General features: G+C 36.7%; 1 protein-coding gene and 1 pseudogene across 6 annotated transcripts in view; one reads left to right on the top strand and one right to left on the bottom strand.

Moving 5' to 3' along the window:
* The window catches only part of DOCK11 (dedicator of cytokinesis 11), a 190,333-nt gene that overhangs the window by 37,775 nt on the left and 134,171 nt on the right, over positions 1 to 18,387 (bottom strand). For all 6 annotated transcript variants that reach the window (XM_005262368.5, NM_144658.4, XM_011531276.4 and 3 more), the window contains 6 exons: positions 17,883 to 17,994; positions 11,961 to 12,027; positions 10,246 to 10,293; positions 8,796 to 8,938; positions 7,068 to 7,183; positions 4,779 to 4,916 (listed from right to left, as the gene is read on the bottom strand). In XM_005262368.5, coding sequence (XP_005262425.1) covers positions 4,779 to 4,916; positions 7,068 to 7,183; positions 8,796 to 8,938; positions 10,246 to 10,293; positions 11,961 to 12,027; positions 17,883 to 17,994 — 624 coding nt within the window. The remainder of the gene's footprint in view (positions 1 to 4,778; positions 4,917 to 7,067; positions 7,184 to 8,795; positions 8,939 to 10,245; positions 10,294 to 11,960; positions 12,028 to 17,882; positions 17,995 to 18,387) is intronic.
* RBBP8P1 (RBBP8 pseudogene 1) lies at positions 14,143 to 16,010 on the top strand (annotated as a pseudogene).

Raw genomic sequence — 18,387 nt, 5'->3', positions numbered from 1 at the left:
CCATTTGAGACCCATCATTCATCATTTCAGGCATTCTTTCAAAACATATTGAGAACCTGCTTACTGTATTATGGCGGTGCAAAAGTAATTGCCACTATATCACTATATAGTGGCAAAAACCGCAATTACTTTTATATATATATTATATTATTATATAATATTATAATATTATATATTATATTATTATATATTACTATTATATTATATATTATATTATTATATATTAATTTATATATTATATTATATAATATTACAATTTATATATTATATTGTATAATATTACAATTTATATTATATATATTACAATTTATATTATATATTATATATTATATTATTATATAATATTATAATTTATATTATATATTATAATAATATATTATATATTATTATATATTATATATAATTATATATTATATATTATTATATATTATAAAATATATTATTTATTATATATAATATTATAATATATAATACATGATATATTATTAAATATTATATATTACATGTTATTAAATATTATATTATAATATATATTAAATATTATATTATAATAATATAATATATATTATTATATATTATAATATATTATATATTATTATATATTATAATATATTATATATTATTATATATTATATTATATTATATTAATTATTATATATTATATTATTATATATTATATTATAATATAATATTATATAATAATTATTAATATATAATATATAAACATATAATATATTAACATATAATATATCTTATATATTATATTTATATATTAATATATAAGATATATTATATGTTAATATATTATATTAATATATAATAACATATATAATATATAATATTATATTATATATTATATTATTATATAATATATTATATAATAATATAATATATATAAAAGTAATTGCGGTTTTTGCCACTATATAGTGATATAGTAGCAATTACTTTTGCACCGCCATAATACAGTAAGCAGGTTCTCAATATGTTTTGAAAGAATGCCTGAAATGATGAATGATGGGTCTCAAATGGGGGCTTAAAAATGGGAAGGTCAATTTTCATTACTTACTCTTTTGCTTTATATTTCAACAGTTCCTTTATTGTGAACATCAACGTGCTGAGAAAATTATAGCTAAAATCTACTCAGCAAGTGAAGTTCATCTTTTAACAAATGGGATATAGGAGATACACACACACACACACACACACACACACACACACACACACACACACACATATCCTCTTCACATAAACACTGATAGTTAAGATACATTTTAGCATAGAAAAGGAGTAAGAAAGTGACTAATTATCAAAAGAGACAAGTGGCCTGTTCCTTTAAGAATGTATTCAGTCTGCTTTGTGGAAGACACAATATACAGGTAACAGACTTGTTACAATTTCCCATGCTTTTAGGTCTAGGCAAGCAAATAACAAGCTGCTTCAGGATACACAATAGATGTTTTTCAGAGAGTGAAGCTAGAGGGACATCTTTTAAAAATTATTTCTTAGGAACCTTGAATTTAGACCCACATATAGGAATCTACCCTTTATTTCACCTTAATACCAAGTGTAATTCTATGCAGATAATGAATGCTTAATAAATGTTTTCTGATTGGGAATTGGGAAATCTCGCTAATAATTTCACCAAACTAAACTAACTCTGGATGAAGCAGATACTCTGGTATGAAAATAAACATTTAAGGGAGATCATAGCTATAGTGTAGCTCATCACTACACTAAGTCTTCTACCCACATCACTCACTTCTCTGAGTGGGCAATGGCTAAAATCATCAATGACCTAATTGCCAATTCTAACAGACCTCTTTTCTCCTTTCTTATTTGACTACTCCGTATACGTCATGACAATGTTGGAACTCTTTCCTTCTTTGGCTTCCATGATATCCTTCTTTCTTACCTTTCTTCCCACCTCTGTGACTGCTCCCTCTCATCTCCCTTACAGATTCGTCTTTGAACCTCCCTTCTACGTTGTTTCTCTCCAATGTTCTGCTCCTGATTTTTTTTGTTGTTGTTGTTATTCTTCTTCTTCAATGTACCCTCCAGGGAAAATCAAACCACTCCCATGGCTTCAACTACCACTTGTATGTTGATGCTCCCGCTAGTTCACTATGCTCCAAAAATACCAGCCTTTTAGTTCTCAGAATACTGCAAACTGTTTCCCAACTCAGAGCCTTGGCACATGTATGTCATTCTCCCTAGATAGTTCTTCTTTAAGCTCTTTTTACAGCTGGCCCCTTTTCAATAATTCAGGTCTCTCTGTTTTTTTGTTGTTGTTGTTGTGTTTTTTTTTTTTTTTTTTTTTTTGACGAAGTCTCGCTCTGTTGCCCAAGCTGGAGCGCAATGGCGCGATCTCGGCTCACTGCAACCTCTGCCTCCCGGGTTCAAGTGATTCTCCTGCCTCAGCCTCCCGTGTAGCTGGGACTACAGGCACCTGCCACCATGCCCAGCTAATTTTTTTTTTTTTTTTTTTTTAACTAGAGACAGGGTTTCACTATGTTGGCCAAGCTGGTCTCGAACTCCTGACTTCGTGATCTGCCCGCCTCAGCCTCCCAAAGTGCTGGGATTACAGATTCAGGTCTCATTTTAAAAGTGACAAACCTATCTAAGATAAGATTATCTCCCACAAATCATTTACTGTCTCAGTACACTGTTTGTTTCCTTCCTAGAACATATAATAATTATGAATTCTTTTTTTTGAGACGAAATCTTGCCCTGTCACCCAGGCTGGAGTGCAGTGGCGCGATCTTGGCTCACTGCAACCTCCGCCTCCTGAGTAGCTGGGATTACAGGCACCCGCCACCACGCCCGGCTAATTTTTGTATTTTTAGTAGAGATGGGGTTTCGCCATGTTGGTCAGGCTGGTGTCAAACTCCTGACCTCAGGTGATCTGCCCGCCTCGGCCTCCCAAAGTGCTGGGATTATAGGCGTGAACCACTGCGCCCGGCTCATGATTACTAATTCTTTTATTATTTATTTTCTGTCTCCCCTATCCCCACTAAGACTGAACGCTTCATGAGGGCAAAGAGTATATTTATTTTGTATCTCCATTGTATCTACAGGACCTAGTACAGCACTTGACACAGAGAAGGTCCTCAATAAATATAGTATGGATGAATGGAGAATGACTCCAACTCTGGCTCTCCAATCTGATCCCTCTCCAGAGCAAAGATCCATATATCCTAATGTCCCAAAGGCACTCAAATTCAACAGGACTCATTAACTTTTACTGCAAATGTAGTCTTTCCCCTGTATTTCACATCAACCACCACACTCCACCATACTGTCAGTGGACTGATGATCAAATCCTGTAAATCCTTTTTCAACATGTCTCATCTGCCTTTGATCCTTCATATATCCACTGTCACTGCCTTACTTCAGGCCCTCATTTCTTATCTAGCTTACTGCAACTAGTCTTTTTACTGCCTTTGACATTGTCACCAATCCTTCTTCAACACAACTTTTAAAGAGATTTTCCCCAGTCCTTACCAATTCCCTCTTAATACAAATATAATTGTGTTACTTCCCTGCTTAAAACCCTTCCATGACTACCTGATGCCTGAAAGATGAAATCCAACTCTTAAGATGAGTCCACATGATCTGTACTCCATTTACATCTTTAGTTTCATCTCTTGGTGAATCCATATTAAATCCTAGCTCCGTTGCTGCAGAAAAACTTTTGCTAAATTAGAGTTCTTCTCCTGCTCACCCCCAGAGGTCTATACAGACTTATTTTATCCTGATGGTATTTGTTTCTGTGTATGTGTATCTTGATGTGTGTGTGCCTCCCTCTACTGGACAATAAGCCTTTAGGGACTATATCCAGTAAGTACCTACAGTTTTTGTTAAATGAATTAGTTCTGAATCTCTTTCCCTTAGTTTTTGTAACATGCTTGTGTTGAACTTGGCTTCCCATAGATTAATTCATAAATTATATTAAAGAATGGCAATAAAAAGCTTCAAATTCATCTAATTTCTGTATCTATTAAACACAATTGGCTGCTATCTAAATAATGAGGATGGCAAAAAGTTTTCAAAGCTTAGCTAGCCTATTACACAAATAAAGAAACTGAATTTCTTTGTCTTATTGTAGTTACATAAACCAGTGGAAGATCTGGACTGTGCCTTTCCATAACCTTGGCTCTATCTTGGTTAATTATGTTTATTCTTAAGTTTAAAAAGCCCCTGAGCACAGAAAATAAATCTTTGCTGTCTGTTTCAGTCATATTTCTTCCTAAAAGCCAAGTCTGAGGTTATTGTTTAGCTGAGGTAAGTGGACTGCACATTTAGGGCCCTCAGTTATGGCTAGCATTGAAAGGCAGGATTCATCCATTTGAACATGTACTGAGTGCTTACCATTTCCAAGATATTATACAAGACCCTGGGATTACAAAAGTTGGATCCTTTCAAAGTGTTTAGACATGAGTGCACTCATGGCTTATATACCTCCAACATGACAATACTTTTAAAAAGAAGCAAAATAGAGAACTGGCAGGTTTGGTAATTTTAAAACGATATTCTTCAAAGGAGCTTAATGGAAAAGGGAAGGTATGATGGGGTGAAATAAAAAGTAGCTTCTGATTTGAGGGGGTTCATGGTAGGCCCTCTGTGTGTGCTTTGTTGTTCTGTATTTCTATTTACAAAGGCAGTACTTAATGGCTTCATGAGCTGGCATTGTATATGTCACCACAATGACCCCCATTGTCCCATCTTTCCTTTTTGCAATGAAGAGAGCCCACCGGCTGCTCCCAAGCTTCTGTCCTTACCTTACTGATGAAAGCTCTCAGTGAGGCAAATACATGTTTCAGCGACACTTCAGATTGTCCATTTTTAAGAAAAGCAAGATGTATATCAAACACTTTTTTCATTAATGGGTTATGGCCATCATTATTTAAAAGTTGGGTCTATAAAACATTAAAAAATATGGTTTATGCCCCACTGAGAATGACAGAACTGATTTCACCAATACCTGTTTATGAAACCACTGTTTGGAAGTTTCAGGAAAATAAAAGGCTCTTGCATATAATTTCAAAATATTTGTGCCATCTTTCAACTTGGAAATCTCAAACAACTACTACATACATGATATCTAAAATATTTAATCCCAACATTTTAAACAGGTAGATTTTTTTTCAATGCAACACAGCAATATACAGGACTAGTATGGGAAGAGTATTTTCTATTAACCTATACCATATTGCTTCTCAATTAAGAAATCAATAAATTAATAATGAATACAAGCAAATCAGCCTTTGTATTTCTGAGAGACTAAATATTGTAATGTATGAATGAAGGAAAATACCAGTTCTATTTTATTAGATTATGATCTAATTTACTTTAAAAGTATGTTTAGTATATGGTTAGCCATTTGTGAAAAAATAAGCCCTCTATGAGTAGAGATAATTAACAGGTATCACAATTGAACAGACTATGTAAATTGTTTAAATGTCCCTTGCAAAGAAACAACAAATTGTAGAGAAATACCTTTTAGTTTGTCAACTTTGTTTTAATCAGCAATGGTTAATTTCTCCAGCCCTATCCTGCTAACCCTCAAGAAAGTAACCAGCAGGTTACAGCTTGGCCAAAACCAACAAAACCCAAAACAACAACAATCTAATGATAATACTGACAGCCAGAATCCCTGAATGGTGTTTGATTTTTCTGGCACTTTCCTTAGTATATTTCAAGGCATGGTATAGTGGCTAGAATCATGGTCTCTTATAACTGGCCTAGATCTCAATCCTGATTCTGCCACTGCCCAGCTATTTGACATTAACCTCCTGTGGGCCCCAGTTTCCCCATTATCAAAAGGGAATAATAACAGTATCTACATCATAAGGCTATTATGAGGATTAAAAGTGAGTTCATATTTGTATTTTTAAGTTATTGAGATATAATTTACAAACCATAAAATTCACCAGTTTCAGGTATACAATTAAATTACATTTAGTAAATTCGGCAACAGAGTTGGGTGACCACCGCAATCCAATTTTAGAACATTTCCATTGTTTCAAAAAGATCACTCCCCTTTCTCATTCCCAGCCTCACAATGAAAAAGTGAGTTAATATTTGTAAAGCACTTAGGACAGTGCCTGATATCTACCAAGAGACTATATAAATGTTTGTTAAATAAATTAGAGGTATCAGAATAGGAGGAAGGAATACAATGTACATCATGAGATCTAATGGCTTTCTTAGTTATTGGCACGATGAAACATGGAGTTGTGTTGCATTTTAATATAGAACAAACCTAATACTTCATAAAGGGATCTGTAGCCTATTTATTAAAGGTATTCTGCAGCCTATTTTATATTAGTATCTAATTCAATTTTCCTTTATAAGCCTCTTTGAAAAGCACAGGCCAGGTTTCCATAGAAAATCTCGAGGTCTGAAGCAATTAACTTAATTACTTAGAGAAGAGGGGAAAAAGGAAAAAAAAAATCTGTATAACTGAAGTGAAAGCAAGCAAGATTTTCACCTTTGAGTTCTTACATTATGGTCACACCGTTTTTACTTTTCAAAGCACTCTCACGTCCATTATCCCATTTCCCCCTCCAATAATCCTGCTAGATAACTGCTTTTACCTTCTTTTTAAAATCATAGCAATGATGATTTGCACTGAGAGGCAAACATCTGAGAAAAAACACTAAGTGCGCGCCTAGGGAAGCCAGCCAGACTGCCCGGACATCATCTACCCTGACAGGACATCTCATCACAATGGGTATTTGGGCAAACAGATCCAATCATATTTTGGGCTAAAAATTGCTGGCTACTTAAAGTATGGAAACTTTGTTTTTAAATACGAAAATCTAATAGAATTTAAGAGGTAGAAGAGAGCTTAAGGGCAAGTTAGTCCACTCCCTTCCCTTTATGGATGACACAAGTGAGTCTCAGTGACTTCCAGGGTCACATGATAACCAAACTAGAACTGCCATCCACATTTCCTGACTATTCATGCCAGCCTTTTTCAGTGTACTACCCCACATTGACTAGGTAATTTCTGCATAATGTTACTTTGCAATGGTACCAACTGAATTATAACTCTTCATTTTTACCTTGAAGCACTGAGTGAAAAATGATATGGTGTCTAGTACTGTTAGGGAAACTTCAGTAGCTGTATTGCCTTCAAGAAGTGCCTGGTGGAAAATGTCTGCTTCAGTTGTTGTAGAACCTAGGATTAAAAAAGTAAATTAAACTTTTCCCAACACGAAGATGCACATAATGGTGTTGAATGACTTTCTACCCAAAGACTTAAGACAAGAAAGGGGGCTCGGCTGGGTGCGGTGGCTCATGCCTGTAATCCCAGCACTTTGGGAGGCTGAGGCGGACAGATCATGAGGTCAGTTCAAGACCAGCCTGGCTAGCATGATGAAACCTGTCTCTACTAAAAATACAAAAAATTAGCCGGGCATGGTGGCACGTACCTACAATCCCAGCTACTCAGGAGGCTGAGGCAGGAGAATCACTTGAACCCGGGAGGCAGAGGTTGCAGCGAGCCGAGATCACGTCACTGCACTCCAACCTGGGTGACAGAGTGAGACTCCGTCTCAAAAAAAAGAGGGCTCACAGTGTCATACTGTATTTAACTCCTTCATCAAATATAGTCTGGGTTAATCAATTTCATTAGTTTTCATTACAGTTCTGTATCAACAGCTCTGCAGGACATAATTAGGTGCCCACCTCTTTGGAGACAAGGTTTCAGTGATGAACTCTGGCGATGTAACTAGGAAATAATGTGGGAGGCCTTCTAAGTCATGCCACTAATTATGTGGGTAAAAATGAGAAACCACTAAATAGAAATTCAGCTACAGATAAACAGTAGTGCCCTATGGTCAGACATTTTCAATTATGCCAATTATATGACATTTGTTTCTAAATCAGAAGGAAAACAAGGTATCTTGGAGGCAACTGAAGGAAGTGGTTCATCATATTTTTACAAGAAGCTGAAGGCTTTAAAACATGCAGATTTAAAGGTCCTGAGTCTATTAGTTCAGGGTCTAGCAAAACATTATTTTTTATTACTAGGTCTTACCACAAAGCCAGTTTTGCTGGCTTCCTTTTCTGAAACCTTCAGAGGACTGTGTGGAAACAAAACATTCTCACTCTTTGAGTTGTTATTAATATTTGCTTTTCATAGGATAGCTTCCATTTATATAACCCTCTAGCTTCCGCAGTTGGGCAAGATTTCTCTCCTTGCCCTATTTGCCTTGTCAATACTTCAACCTGTCTGAAATACACCTTTGCCAAACTAGTATTTAGGATTCACCGATTTCTGCAGTCAACTCAGCATGTTCATTCCCTAATCATTAAATGACCAAAAGTAACTAAACAAATATTACATATACTATTATATTAAGATGTCAATATTTGCATTGAAGTCTAACAGTAGGAATGAAGAATACTCAATATAAAAATATTATGAGAATAGCAATTCCATGGGAAAAATTTAGTTTCTTTAACACTAAGAAGAAAACATCATGACCTAAAATTGTTCAAAAATCCATGTGTATTTTATCATTTTATAGTCATGTATGATGAAATTGATTATATACATAGCAGAGAGATGCAAACACATGTATGGGAAATCATTTCCCATCATATTGGCAATTTAAACCAGGACTTCTTTTCTTCATACATATTTAAGGGATACAGGTGATATTTTGTTACATGCATATAATGTGTAATGATCAAGGTATTTATGGTATCCATCACCTTCAGTTTTTATTATTTAAACCAGGACTTCTTTAAGGTCAAATGGGTACCACACACACATTTTCACTTACTGTGATTAAGTGTAAATGAACTTTCTAGGCTACTAAGATGCTGAAGCCGGGCCTGCATTACTCCTGATCTGTTTCGAAGAGCAGGCATGGTTTGCGATTTTCGGTCTATTCCGAAGTGTTTTGACAGCCAGGCATCATGCACCCTAAAATAAATTTTAAAGTCAGGAACTGGAGTGCTCTAATAACATATCTCAATGTTATCATCTTTTTAACTAAAAAAAATTAGGTTTCCACATAAACATAGTAGTACACTCAAGGATTAAATGAAGTGTCACTAGAAACTGGATGAAGTTTTAATGTATCTTTAAAATAGCATATATGAATATAATTAAGGAATTTAGAAAGAGCTTCCACTTCCCTCCTTCTTCTCAAAAACATCAGAGATAAGTGGCCAACACTCCAATAAGATTTAATCTTTTCACAGGAGGTGAGGAAGGGCAAGAGTGGGAAGAAGACAGCCAGAGGTTCACTAAGAGTTGAAATGAGAGGGGAAACTCCTAGAGCCAGATGTTCAAGAATGAATGCCAATCTAATCTGTTTCTGAACCTGAGGTAAGTTTGGATTAGAAATTTTTACTCTGTAAGCATGTCCATTGCTAAGATGAACAAACTTTTCTTTGTTTTACTTTAATGTTGTTTCCATTTAAAAAATTACAACTGGGTCATACATGGACTAAGGAAGAAATAGTTTGTTTATCCTCTAGTAAACGTAGTGGGAGAGTTGACAGAATCCTAGAGACTGAGGTTCATGGTAACAATGGCCATACCAGCTCCAACTTATGGGAAAACATGGTTGAAATTGGAACCCTCACCACCCAAACTACCTATCCTTAGGACGTTCCAGAGACTGAACAGTAATCCCCATCCACACAGCCTCTTAAAAATTAAACATTTTTTAAAACTGTTTTTGAGCTCCTTTAATGACTAACTCTACCCCTAAAATACATCTCATTGAAATAAGCAAGTAACCTTCTTCACCTTAGAATCTCTCAAATATTTCCTTAAGTATTTATTTCACTAGGACTTACATGGCAAAAAGAGGAAATAGATAATGTATCATTTATGTCCCAATTGCTGTTGGGGATTTCTATTTGCTTTAGTAACTGAGGTGAGTATTGATAGTTTTCAGACAAAAATACAGACCTTACAGTTGTCCTCACTTTATGATTTCCTGCCTTCCCCTGGATCTAGCCTCTTCTGGATTCCTTTAGAAAAGATAAGCATCTCACAAGGTAGAAACTCTGTATATCACTTTAATCATCACTCCTTGGGAAGCTTGAAAATGTAAAAGTTCCCATTCGTTTAAACTTTCAATTGGGACATGTTAACTAAATCACCGGTATCCCAATGTTAACTCAAAGTATGCAACCTAGGTTTTACATGGCATGACTAAGATTGCCCTCTGTTGGAAGAGAAGGAAAAAGTAGAAATTGCAGTGCTATGGGAATTACCTTGCTATGTTTCTTTTCCCCATATATCTAAAGTGAAACAAGCATACTCTAGAAAGAAAAACAATAGCATGTTAGTAATATATTAACATCCTCTACAGATTAACAAGTGATATTTTAAAAGTCATAAGTTACAAAGAATAGCCTATTTAAATCATATTATAATGATAAGTGTTTTGCTATACAGAAATACATAGATAATTAATTGCGGGCTTGCCATATTCTCTTTCTACATTTATTTGCTACAATTACATCATGTTTTCATATACAATTTTAATGACAGGTTTAAAAAACCTGTCAATGCAAATCACCCTTTATGCTCTGTAACTTATCATAGCAAAGGTCTCCATCAGTCATTTTTTATTTTTGACACAGGACCTCGCTCTGTCACCCATGCTGGAAGGCAGTGGAATGATCATGCGCGGCTCACTGCAGCCTCGACCTCCCAGGCTCAAATTATTCTCTCACCTCTGCCTCCCAAGTACCTGGAACCACAGGTGCACATCACCATGCCCAGCTAATGTTTTATTTTTTGTAGAGATCAGGTCTCACTATGTTGCCCAGGCTGCTCTCAAACTCCTGGGCTCAAGTGATCCTCCTGCCTCAGCTTCCCAAAGTGCTGGGATTACAGGCGTGAGCCACCACGCCTGGCCCGCCAGCATAGTCAATAATATCTCTAAAAGGTTCTTCCACACTAAAAATTGGGGCAATTTCTACATTTTAAATAATAGCATTAAAATACTTTATATTATTAAAAATTTCAAACGCGTACAAAAGTAGGGAGAGTACCATAGTTAACTCCTACATACCCAATCATCCCCCAGATTCAACAATGATTGAACTCATGGCTATTCTTGTTTGACCTCTGCCCTGAATAGGTCCCCTGATATCCCTCCACCCTCCCTACCCCTGTGTTTCTAAAGCAAATCCCCAACATCAGATATTTTCATTAGTAAATATTTCAGTACAATTACAGTAGTTAAAAAAAAATCTTAACTGCTGTTTATTCTTCTGACATTTTCCGTAAAAGTTTGTAAGACTTTAATCCAAGGGTTTTGTATTGATATGCTTTGTTTTTGTAGACATGCACATACAAATCATATACGTGTACTATTTATTTAAAAATTTATTGCATTTCATTCTATCTCTAATTTTTCTTTTAGCTTCCAATAATCATATAAAAATAGCTCAGGATGAAATATAGGACAACTTCCCATGTCCAGACTAGGTTTCCCCCCAAGAGTCTTGGAATACATACATATACACGTGTGTGTGTGTGTGTGTGTGTGTGTGTGTGTGTGTACACACAAATACACAGACACATTTCTGCAGTGGGTAGAATTACTCAGCTCTACATGAAAGTACAAATTCTAAATTCCAATCATTTACACTGCTCCACTAATCCAGCATCTGTTCCAAATGAATGATGCACGACAGATGATACTACTTCTAGTTTTTCAGATCACAGAAAGCCTTTTGCTGGGCTTTAAAGATGGTTTATTATTAGCTAGAGTTTCAGCAGTATACAAAGTATTCCACGTTCACATTTTTCTTCTGTCTGCAGGTAAAGAACCTCTATGTCAGGCTCTATATTATCAAAATAATTTAACATTTTCTACATTATTAGCAAATAAGCTATTAAAAACAGAAAAAATTGTAACAGTTGAATTCTCCCCAAATAAGGGGAAAGTATATGAAGATAAATTAATATAACTTACTCTAAAAGTATAAGAATGTTTATGAGCTCCTGAGGTGATACTTTATTCCAGTAAGTTAAGAGAGTATCTGAAAATGGAATAAATAAAGTGTTAGATCTTGAAATAATTACAGCAAATAGCACAGTGAATCCCCAAGTCCTATGTAGCTTCAAGGACTATCAACTCAAGGTGAATCTTGTTTCATCTATATTCTCCTCTCCCCTCCCACTGCGCAGTATACACTCTGTATTCTTTTGAATTAATTCCAAATATATCATTTAATTGGTAATTAGTTCAGCATCAATGATCCTTTTTATGTGCTTTGTGTATGTCCTTTTGGGTCGCTTATCCCAATCTTCGTATCATTTCTGAAGACAGAGTAAGGGAAGTTGCTGTGTTTTTACTTTAGATGAGGTGTTTTGAATGAACTCCCTAAAATTTTATGCCAGATGGTGTGTTTATGTGCATTTTTCTGAGAAGGTCAAATGCCGTTGCCTGCTACTCAGAGGGCTCTGTGAATAAAAAGGTTTAAGAATTTTAAACTTCAGCCTGGTTGCGGTAGCTCACATCTGTAATCCAGCACTTTGGGAGGCCAAGGTGGGCGTATCACTTGAGGTCAGGAGCTCGAGGCCAACCTGGACAACATGATGAAACCCCTTCTCTACTAAAAATATAAAAATTAGCTGGGCGTGGTGGCCAGCGCCTATAATCCCAGCTACTCGGGAGGCTGAGGCAGGAGAATCACTTGAACCTGGGAGGTGGAGGTTGCAGTGAGCTGAGATCGTGCCACTGCACTCCAGCCTGGGCGACAGAGTGAGACTCCGTCTCAAAAAAAATAATAAAAATAAAAAAGAGAATTTTAAACTTCAGGAGAGACAGATAACTTTCCTTTTTCTCTCTGCCTTTGCATTATAAATTCTGATGTCCTATCTATCTGTGGAACAACTATTTCAGACACAAAAGTCTCTTAAATCTATCACATATACTTCTCTTTCTTACCCATTTCTTCCCCAACACACCTACTTAGTGAGATTTAAAACAAAACAAAACAAAACAAACAGTGCCACCACTTGACTTTCCACTCCTTTTTTATCCTACTTTGATGGAGCTAATGGTGTCAGCAGACCCTCCTCTAACTGTAAAAATCGCATAGGTGTCACAAAAGCAGGCAAATGACTTAATTCCCAACTGAGCTAGAACCTCTCAATGATAAAGATGGAAGACAAGACAATGTTGGCTTTATGGAGGGGCAAGGAGGATGAGGGAACAGGGGAGGTCGACTTAGTTACTTCCAATTTTCCAATTGTTTTATAAGACCACGAATATTGCTAGGTTTCAATTATTACAAAATGCTAATCATCAAGAATAAAACTGAAAATAGACTCAAAATTTGACTTGTTTTAAAAATTAGGCCAGGCCCAGTGGGTCACGCCTGTAATCCCAGCACTTTCGGAGGCCGAGGCGGGTGGATCTGAAGTCAGGAATTCGAGACCAGCCTGACCAACATCGTGAAACCCTGTCTCTACTAAAAATACAAAAATTAGTTGGGCGTGGTGGCGCGCCTGTAATCCCAGTTACTCAGGAGGCTGAGGCAGGAGAATTGCTTGAACCCGGGAGGCGGAGGTTGCAGTGAGCTGAGATCGCGCCACTGCTCTCCAGCCTGGGCTCAACAGAGTGAGACTCCATCTAAAAAAAATTAAATTAAAAAAATATATATCAAGCTAGCAGTGACTTCCGCTTTCGCCTATCTGCCACTGGGTGTCTACTCACAGAAGCTTGGGTTCCCCCCCAGAAGTCCCTGCGTTTCCGGCCTCCGGTCAAAGGGCAGCTTGCTGCGCCACTGCCTGAGGGTGCTGGCCTCCCTCTCCTGTGGGTTAGCTCTTCTAGCCGAAAAGTTGGTGCCTCCTCTCCAGCGAAAACCTGGGACTTTGCGTCCAACGGTGAGCACCCATCTCCCTCGCCCCATGTCCTAAGGTAGCTTCGGAGAAGGTCTGTGAAAGGGGTAAAAGTGCTCGCCCTCACAGCGAACTAGCTCCAATCCACTGCAAGTCCGCCATTTTCTTAACGGCACTGTTGTTGAGCGACGAGGCCATCCCTCCCATTTCCAAATCTGTGAAACATGATGCAGGCAGGGAACGAGGGTGTAGGAGGGAGGAGAGGTTGTAAGAAATCTTCAGGAAGAGAATCATCACGGCTTAGTGTATGTGATTTGGAATCTGACAATTTTAAAAAAACATGGCTGGCGCTAAAAGAGCTCCATGATAAAGAGCTGCGGCGTCTACAGGCAAAATTAACAAGTCTGAGGAAACAGCGATTGTCAGACGGGAGGCGGACGGGCTCCACAGCCAAAATTAAAGAGTTGACTAAACAGCAGAGAGTCCTGCAGAGCACCATTAATGACTTGAAAGATCAGTTAAAGGCAAAAACCTGTGACTGCTGTTCAATGACAGAAACATACAGGCTTGCGCTAGAGAAAGACTATTATGAAATCCAACAACAAAATCTTTTCTTTATTGCGGAACTCACTAAAGAAACAAATAAATTACGAGAAGAAAATAAAAGGCTTTCTAAAATAATAATGAGGCAACAACAATTTCAGACTTCTGGTAGTGATGACTTCGTTTCTGGTAGTCAAATGACTATGTCAGATTTTTCAGTCAGGGAGCCTGCACAAGGAAGGCAGAGGCATGTGCCTATCAAATCGATAAGCCAGTCACAAAGTAAGCAGATGAAACCTACGAGCACAAAGGAACTGCAACAAAGTTCAGAGTTTCCAGCTCCATCTTTTAGTCAAGGCCTCTTTGAAGTGCCAGAGACCTCTTTTGCGAAAAGTTCCTCTAATGACACTAAGCCTAACATAGAAGACCCTGCCAGCCAGAAGCCACTGGCAAGTTCTCTTTTAACAACTTCACTTAGTCCTCAAAAGAGGTATGAATTTCAAGATTTTTTCAATCTTCATGAAGACAAGATTGGCCAGCCAAAAGGGACACTTGAAACAAAGGTCTCCCCGCAAAAAGAAACTCAGATTGGCACATCATGGAACCCTTCCGCTATCTCCCCAGGAGAATACCCAACTCATGTATCTGAAAGTTTACTGGAAACTTTAGAGGATTATTCTATAACCTCATATAGCCCTCTTGCAAAGGAAAAGAAAATAATCCCTTTGAATGTCTTGCCTTTAGACTCTACTTTAAAATCTAGTACAAAAAGAAGAGCAGTGGTTGCTATTCCTTCTAACACCAAATTTGCAGTGAGAGATAGCTCTAACCAGATACCTTCCAATGAACAGTCTGCTTCGGAGAATATTAATGAATCTACAAGTGCAGGGTATGGTGCCGATAAGCCTCAATGTGATACTGAGAGTGTCTTTTTGGAGTCTGGGCTAAAGAGAAAAGTGAAGACACAGTCACAAAGAAAGAGGAAGTAGCTTCCCCATCCCCCCCACCCCCCTCACCCCCCCCCCCACCGCCCCCCACCACCTTCTCTCTTAAGGAAGCAACAATGTTTTACTTTTCCAACAGAACAGTCTTCTTGTCAATTCAGACTTCGTAACTGGTAACTCCTGACTCTTATTCCTTTTCTCACGATATAATAAACTAAGCAGTAAGGCCTGAAAATGTTTGGCAAATGAATCTAAGACTTTGAAATAGCAAATTTTTGTCAATTAATAAAATGCAGCTATAAGTAGAGAATGAAATTTATTCTCCAGAATCCATATAAAAGTGTAGAGATAGAACATCTTTTCATTGACATTAAAGTTGCTACTGTTTATGACTCAATAAAAAAGAAAGCCAAGAGAGGACCTCAAGATTGTGGACTTGAAAGAGATAAATATTTAAATGCATATAGAGTAACTAAAACAATATTTACCGGACAAGACAAAGTAATTAGAATACATCCATTGAGAAGGATCTAGAAGACATTTCTTAGAACAAAATGAATATGACTTTACAGATATACAGCATGACTTTATACATATAAAAGATAAACAGATGTGACATAGACTGTATACTAGTTATTGAAAATGTGCTTTTTAAAATCAAAAAGCAAGAGCAGAAGACTACAAAACCTAATTAACAAAGACTGAATATTCGGCACAGAGTACTGCCACTGAGCAAGCATGGTCAACATTTGCAAGAATAAGAGGAACTATCAAGTTCACAAGAAATAAAACAGTCATGGGCCGGGTGTGGTGGCTCACGCCTGTAATCCCAGCACTTTGGGAGGCCGAGGTGGGCGGATCACGAGGTCAGGAGATCGAGACCATCCTGGCTAACACCGTGAAACCCCATCTCTACTAAAAATAAACAAATTAGCCGGGCGTGGTGGCGGGCGCCTGTAGTCCCAGCTACTCGGGAGGCTGAAACAGGAGAATCACTTGAACCTGGGAGGTGGAGGTTGCAGTGAGCTGAGATCCTGCCACTGCACTCCAGCCTAGGCGACAGAGTGAGACTCCATCTTCAAAACAAAAACAGTCATGGTTTTACCCATGACATTAAAAATAACAACCAGAGACTTGTCTCTGGTTAGTATAGAATGTGATGTATATGTGTGTGTATGTGTGTGTGAGACCTACAGTGGAGGAGGGGAGAGAACTAGTCAGCAATGCAGCTTTTCCCCTCCTCCTACCTTCTCTCTCTTTCCCTCATTCTTTGGGCTGTGGTGGTATTCAACCGCTTTTTTGTTCACTTCTGCTTTTTTTCTAATGTATCTCTTGGACCTATTTTTTTTAAGGCTAGTCAAGTGGCAATGGGAGTGGAGAACAGATAAAGATTGGGCCTCTTTTTAAAAAAAAACATTTACTGAGAGATTCATTTATCATAAAAATGCCCACATAAATAGCCCACAATATTACAATAGTTTATAGTTTATTCAAAGACTAAGGAAACCTTCACCACAGTTTTAGAACATTTTCATTGCCTTAAGAAGAAACTCCATAAATGTTAGCAATTTCCAGATTCCACAACATAATGTTTGATATTTATGCTAAATCGTACATTCCTAGAACTTGAATATTCCAGTTATTTTTATTTTATTAATGAACTTTAGAATTTACTCATATCTAGCTATTTATTTTAATGTTTCTATAGCTACTTAGATATCAACTTATTTTATGTCTTTACATCCTGCATTATTATAAAATATTTAAAACGAAATAATTACTAAAAATAAAAAAATAGAAAATGAGTAAAAGATAGCAATCACTATGATGATCCCAGGTGCTTTTATGTTTTCCATTTTTGCATTTTTTTTTTTTAAGCAAAAGTATTGCGAAAAGGAAGAGAAGGGAGGGAACTGTCTAAGTAAATGTGGTATTTGGAAATAACCTGCTTTTACTTCCCGAGGACATGCAGTTTATGAAAGTCCTTCGGTTGTATTCCATCATATAGTGTAAAGAGGAACTGGTGACACTAGTAAATACGGCTCTATACCAAGGAGAAAAAACAGAGCCCGACAAAGAACGCGATACCAGACAATATCATACAGTGTTGCTGCAAAGATAATGATGACATTCCCTACCCTTCAAGAACTCTTCCTGTCTTTTTGTTTCTTATTTGTCAAATCCTGGGTTAAATAAAAGCTGAAGTATTAAATATGAATTCTGGTGGTTATTATTTCCTTTCAGTTACATTGGTCATTTAATGAATTAAATGCTCTGCATGAAAACAAAATGTTTAGCACTTCTAAAACCATTGCCTCATTTTAGAAATTCATTTGCAAAATTATGTTAAAATTATTTCAAAGACTCGAACTTGTGTGACTGACATGAACCTATTTTGAAGTTCAATTTAAGAAACATTTTAAAGTCAGAGTCTCCAAATAACTGTTTATAATGTGCATGTGCTCTGCCTCCAGATGATGATCAAATATTGTTGCATGAATTTGTGAACCTGTGAGGGTGTATGTCTAGTACAGTCCATGCTTAATATGATGGTAACTCACCTTCTGAAATCATTTTTACTATATACAGGTAGCACATCAGGAGGCTTCTGATTTCATACTGATCCAGGCGGTTATACTGGGATACACTACTCCTTGTAGAACTCTGTCGGGTCTGTAAGGACAGGATGTTCGTGAAATAGTATCAGTACAATTTTCCACAGCCTTTAACTCAGTAACTCTTTTTTTATCATTAGATCTGTTTGGGAAAATTCTAAACATAAATCTAAATTTTATATCACAACTTGAAGGTGAATGGGCTGAATCTTTCTTTCCTAGTAATAGCTAGTAATATCACTAGAAATTACCTTGGAGTCTTCACAAAGATATAGCCATGAATACTGTGTTTCATTCTCATATGCCATGTGTTTTAGTGGTAAAATTTTAAAATAATCATGGCTATTTAAGGAAAGATAGCTTTTACATGGAGTGAAAGCATAAGAAACATCTTAAACTTTTTCATTTGAATCTTTCCTTAGAGTTTATTAAAATCCAACCTCCAAATCAT

The sequence above is a fragment of the Homo sapiens genome, chromosome X (assembly GCF_000001405.40).
Source record: "Homo sapiens chromosome X, GRCh38.p14 Primary Assembly".
In the NCBI taxonomy this organism is placed as follows: domain Eukaryota; kingdom Metazoa; phylum Chordata; class Mammalia; order Primates; family Hominidae; genus Homo; species Homo sapiens.
The sequence above is the reverse complement of the archived record's forward strand: the minus strand, read 5'-3'. Positions and strand labels throughout refer to the sequence as shown.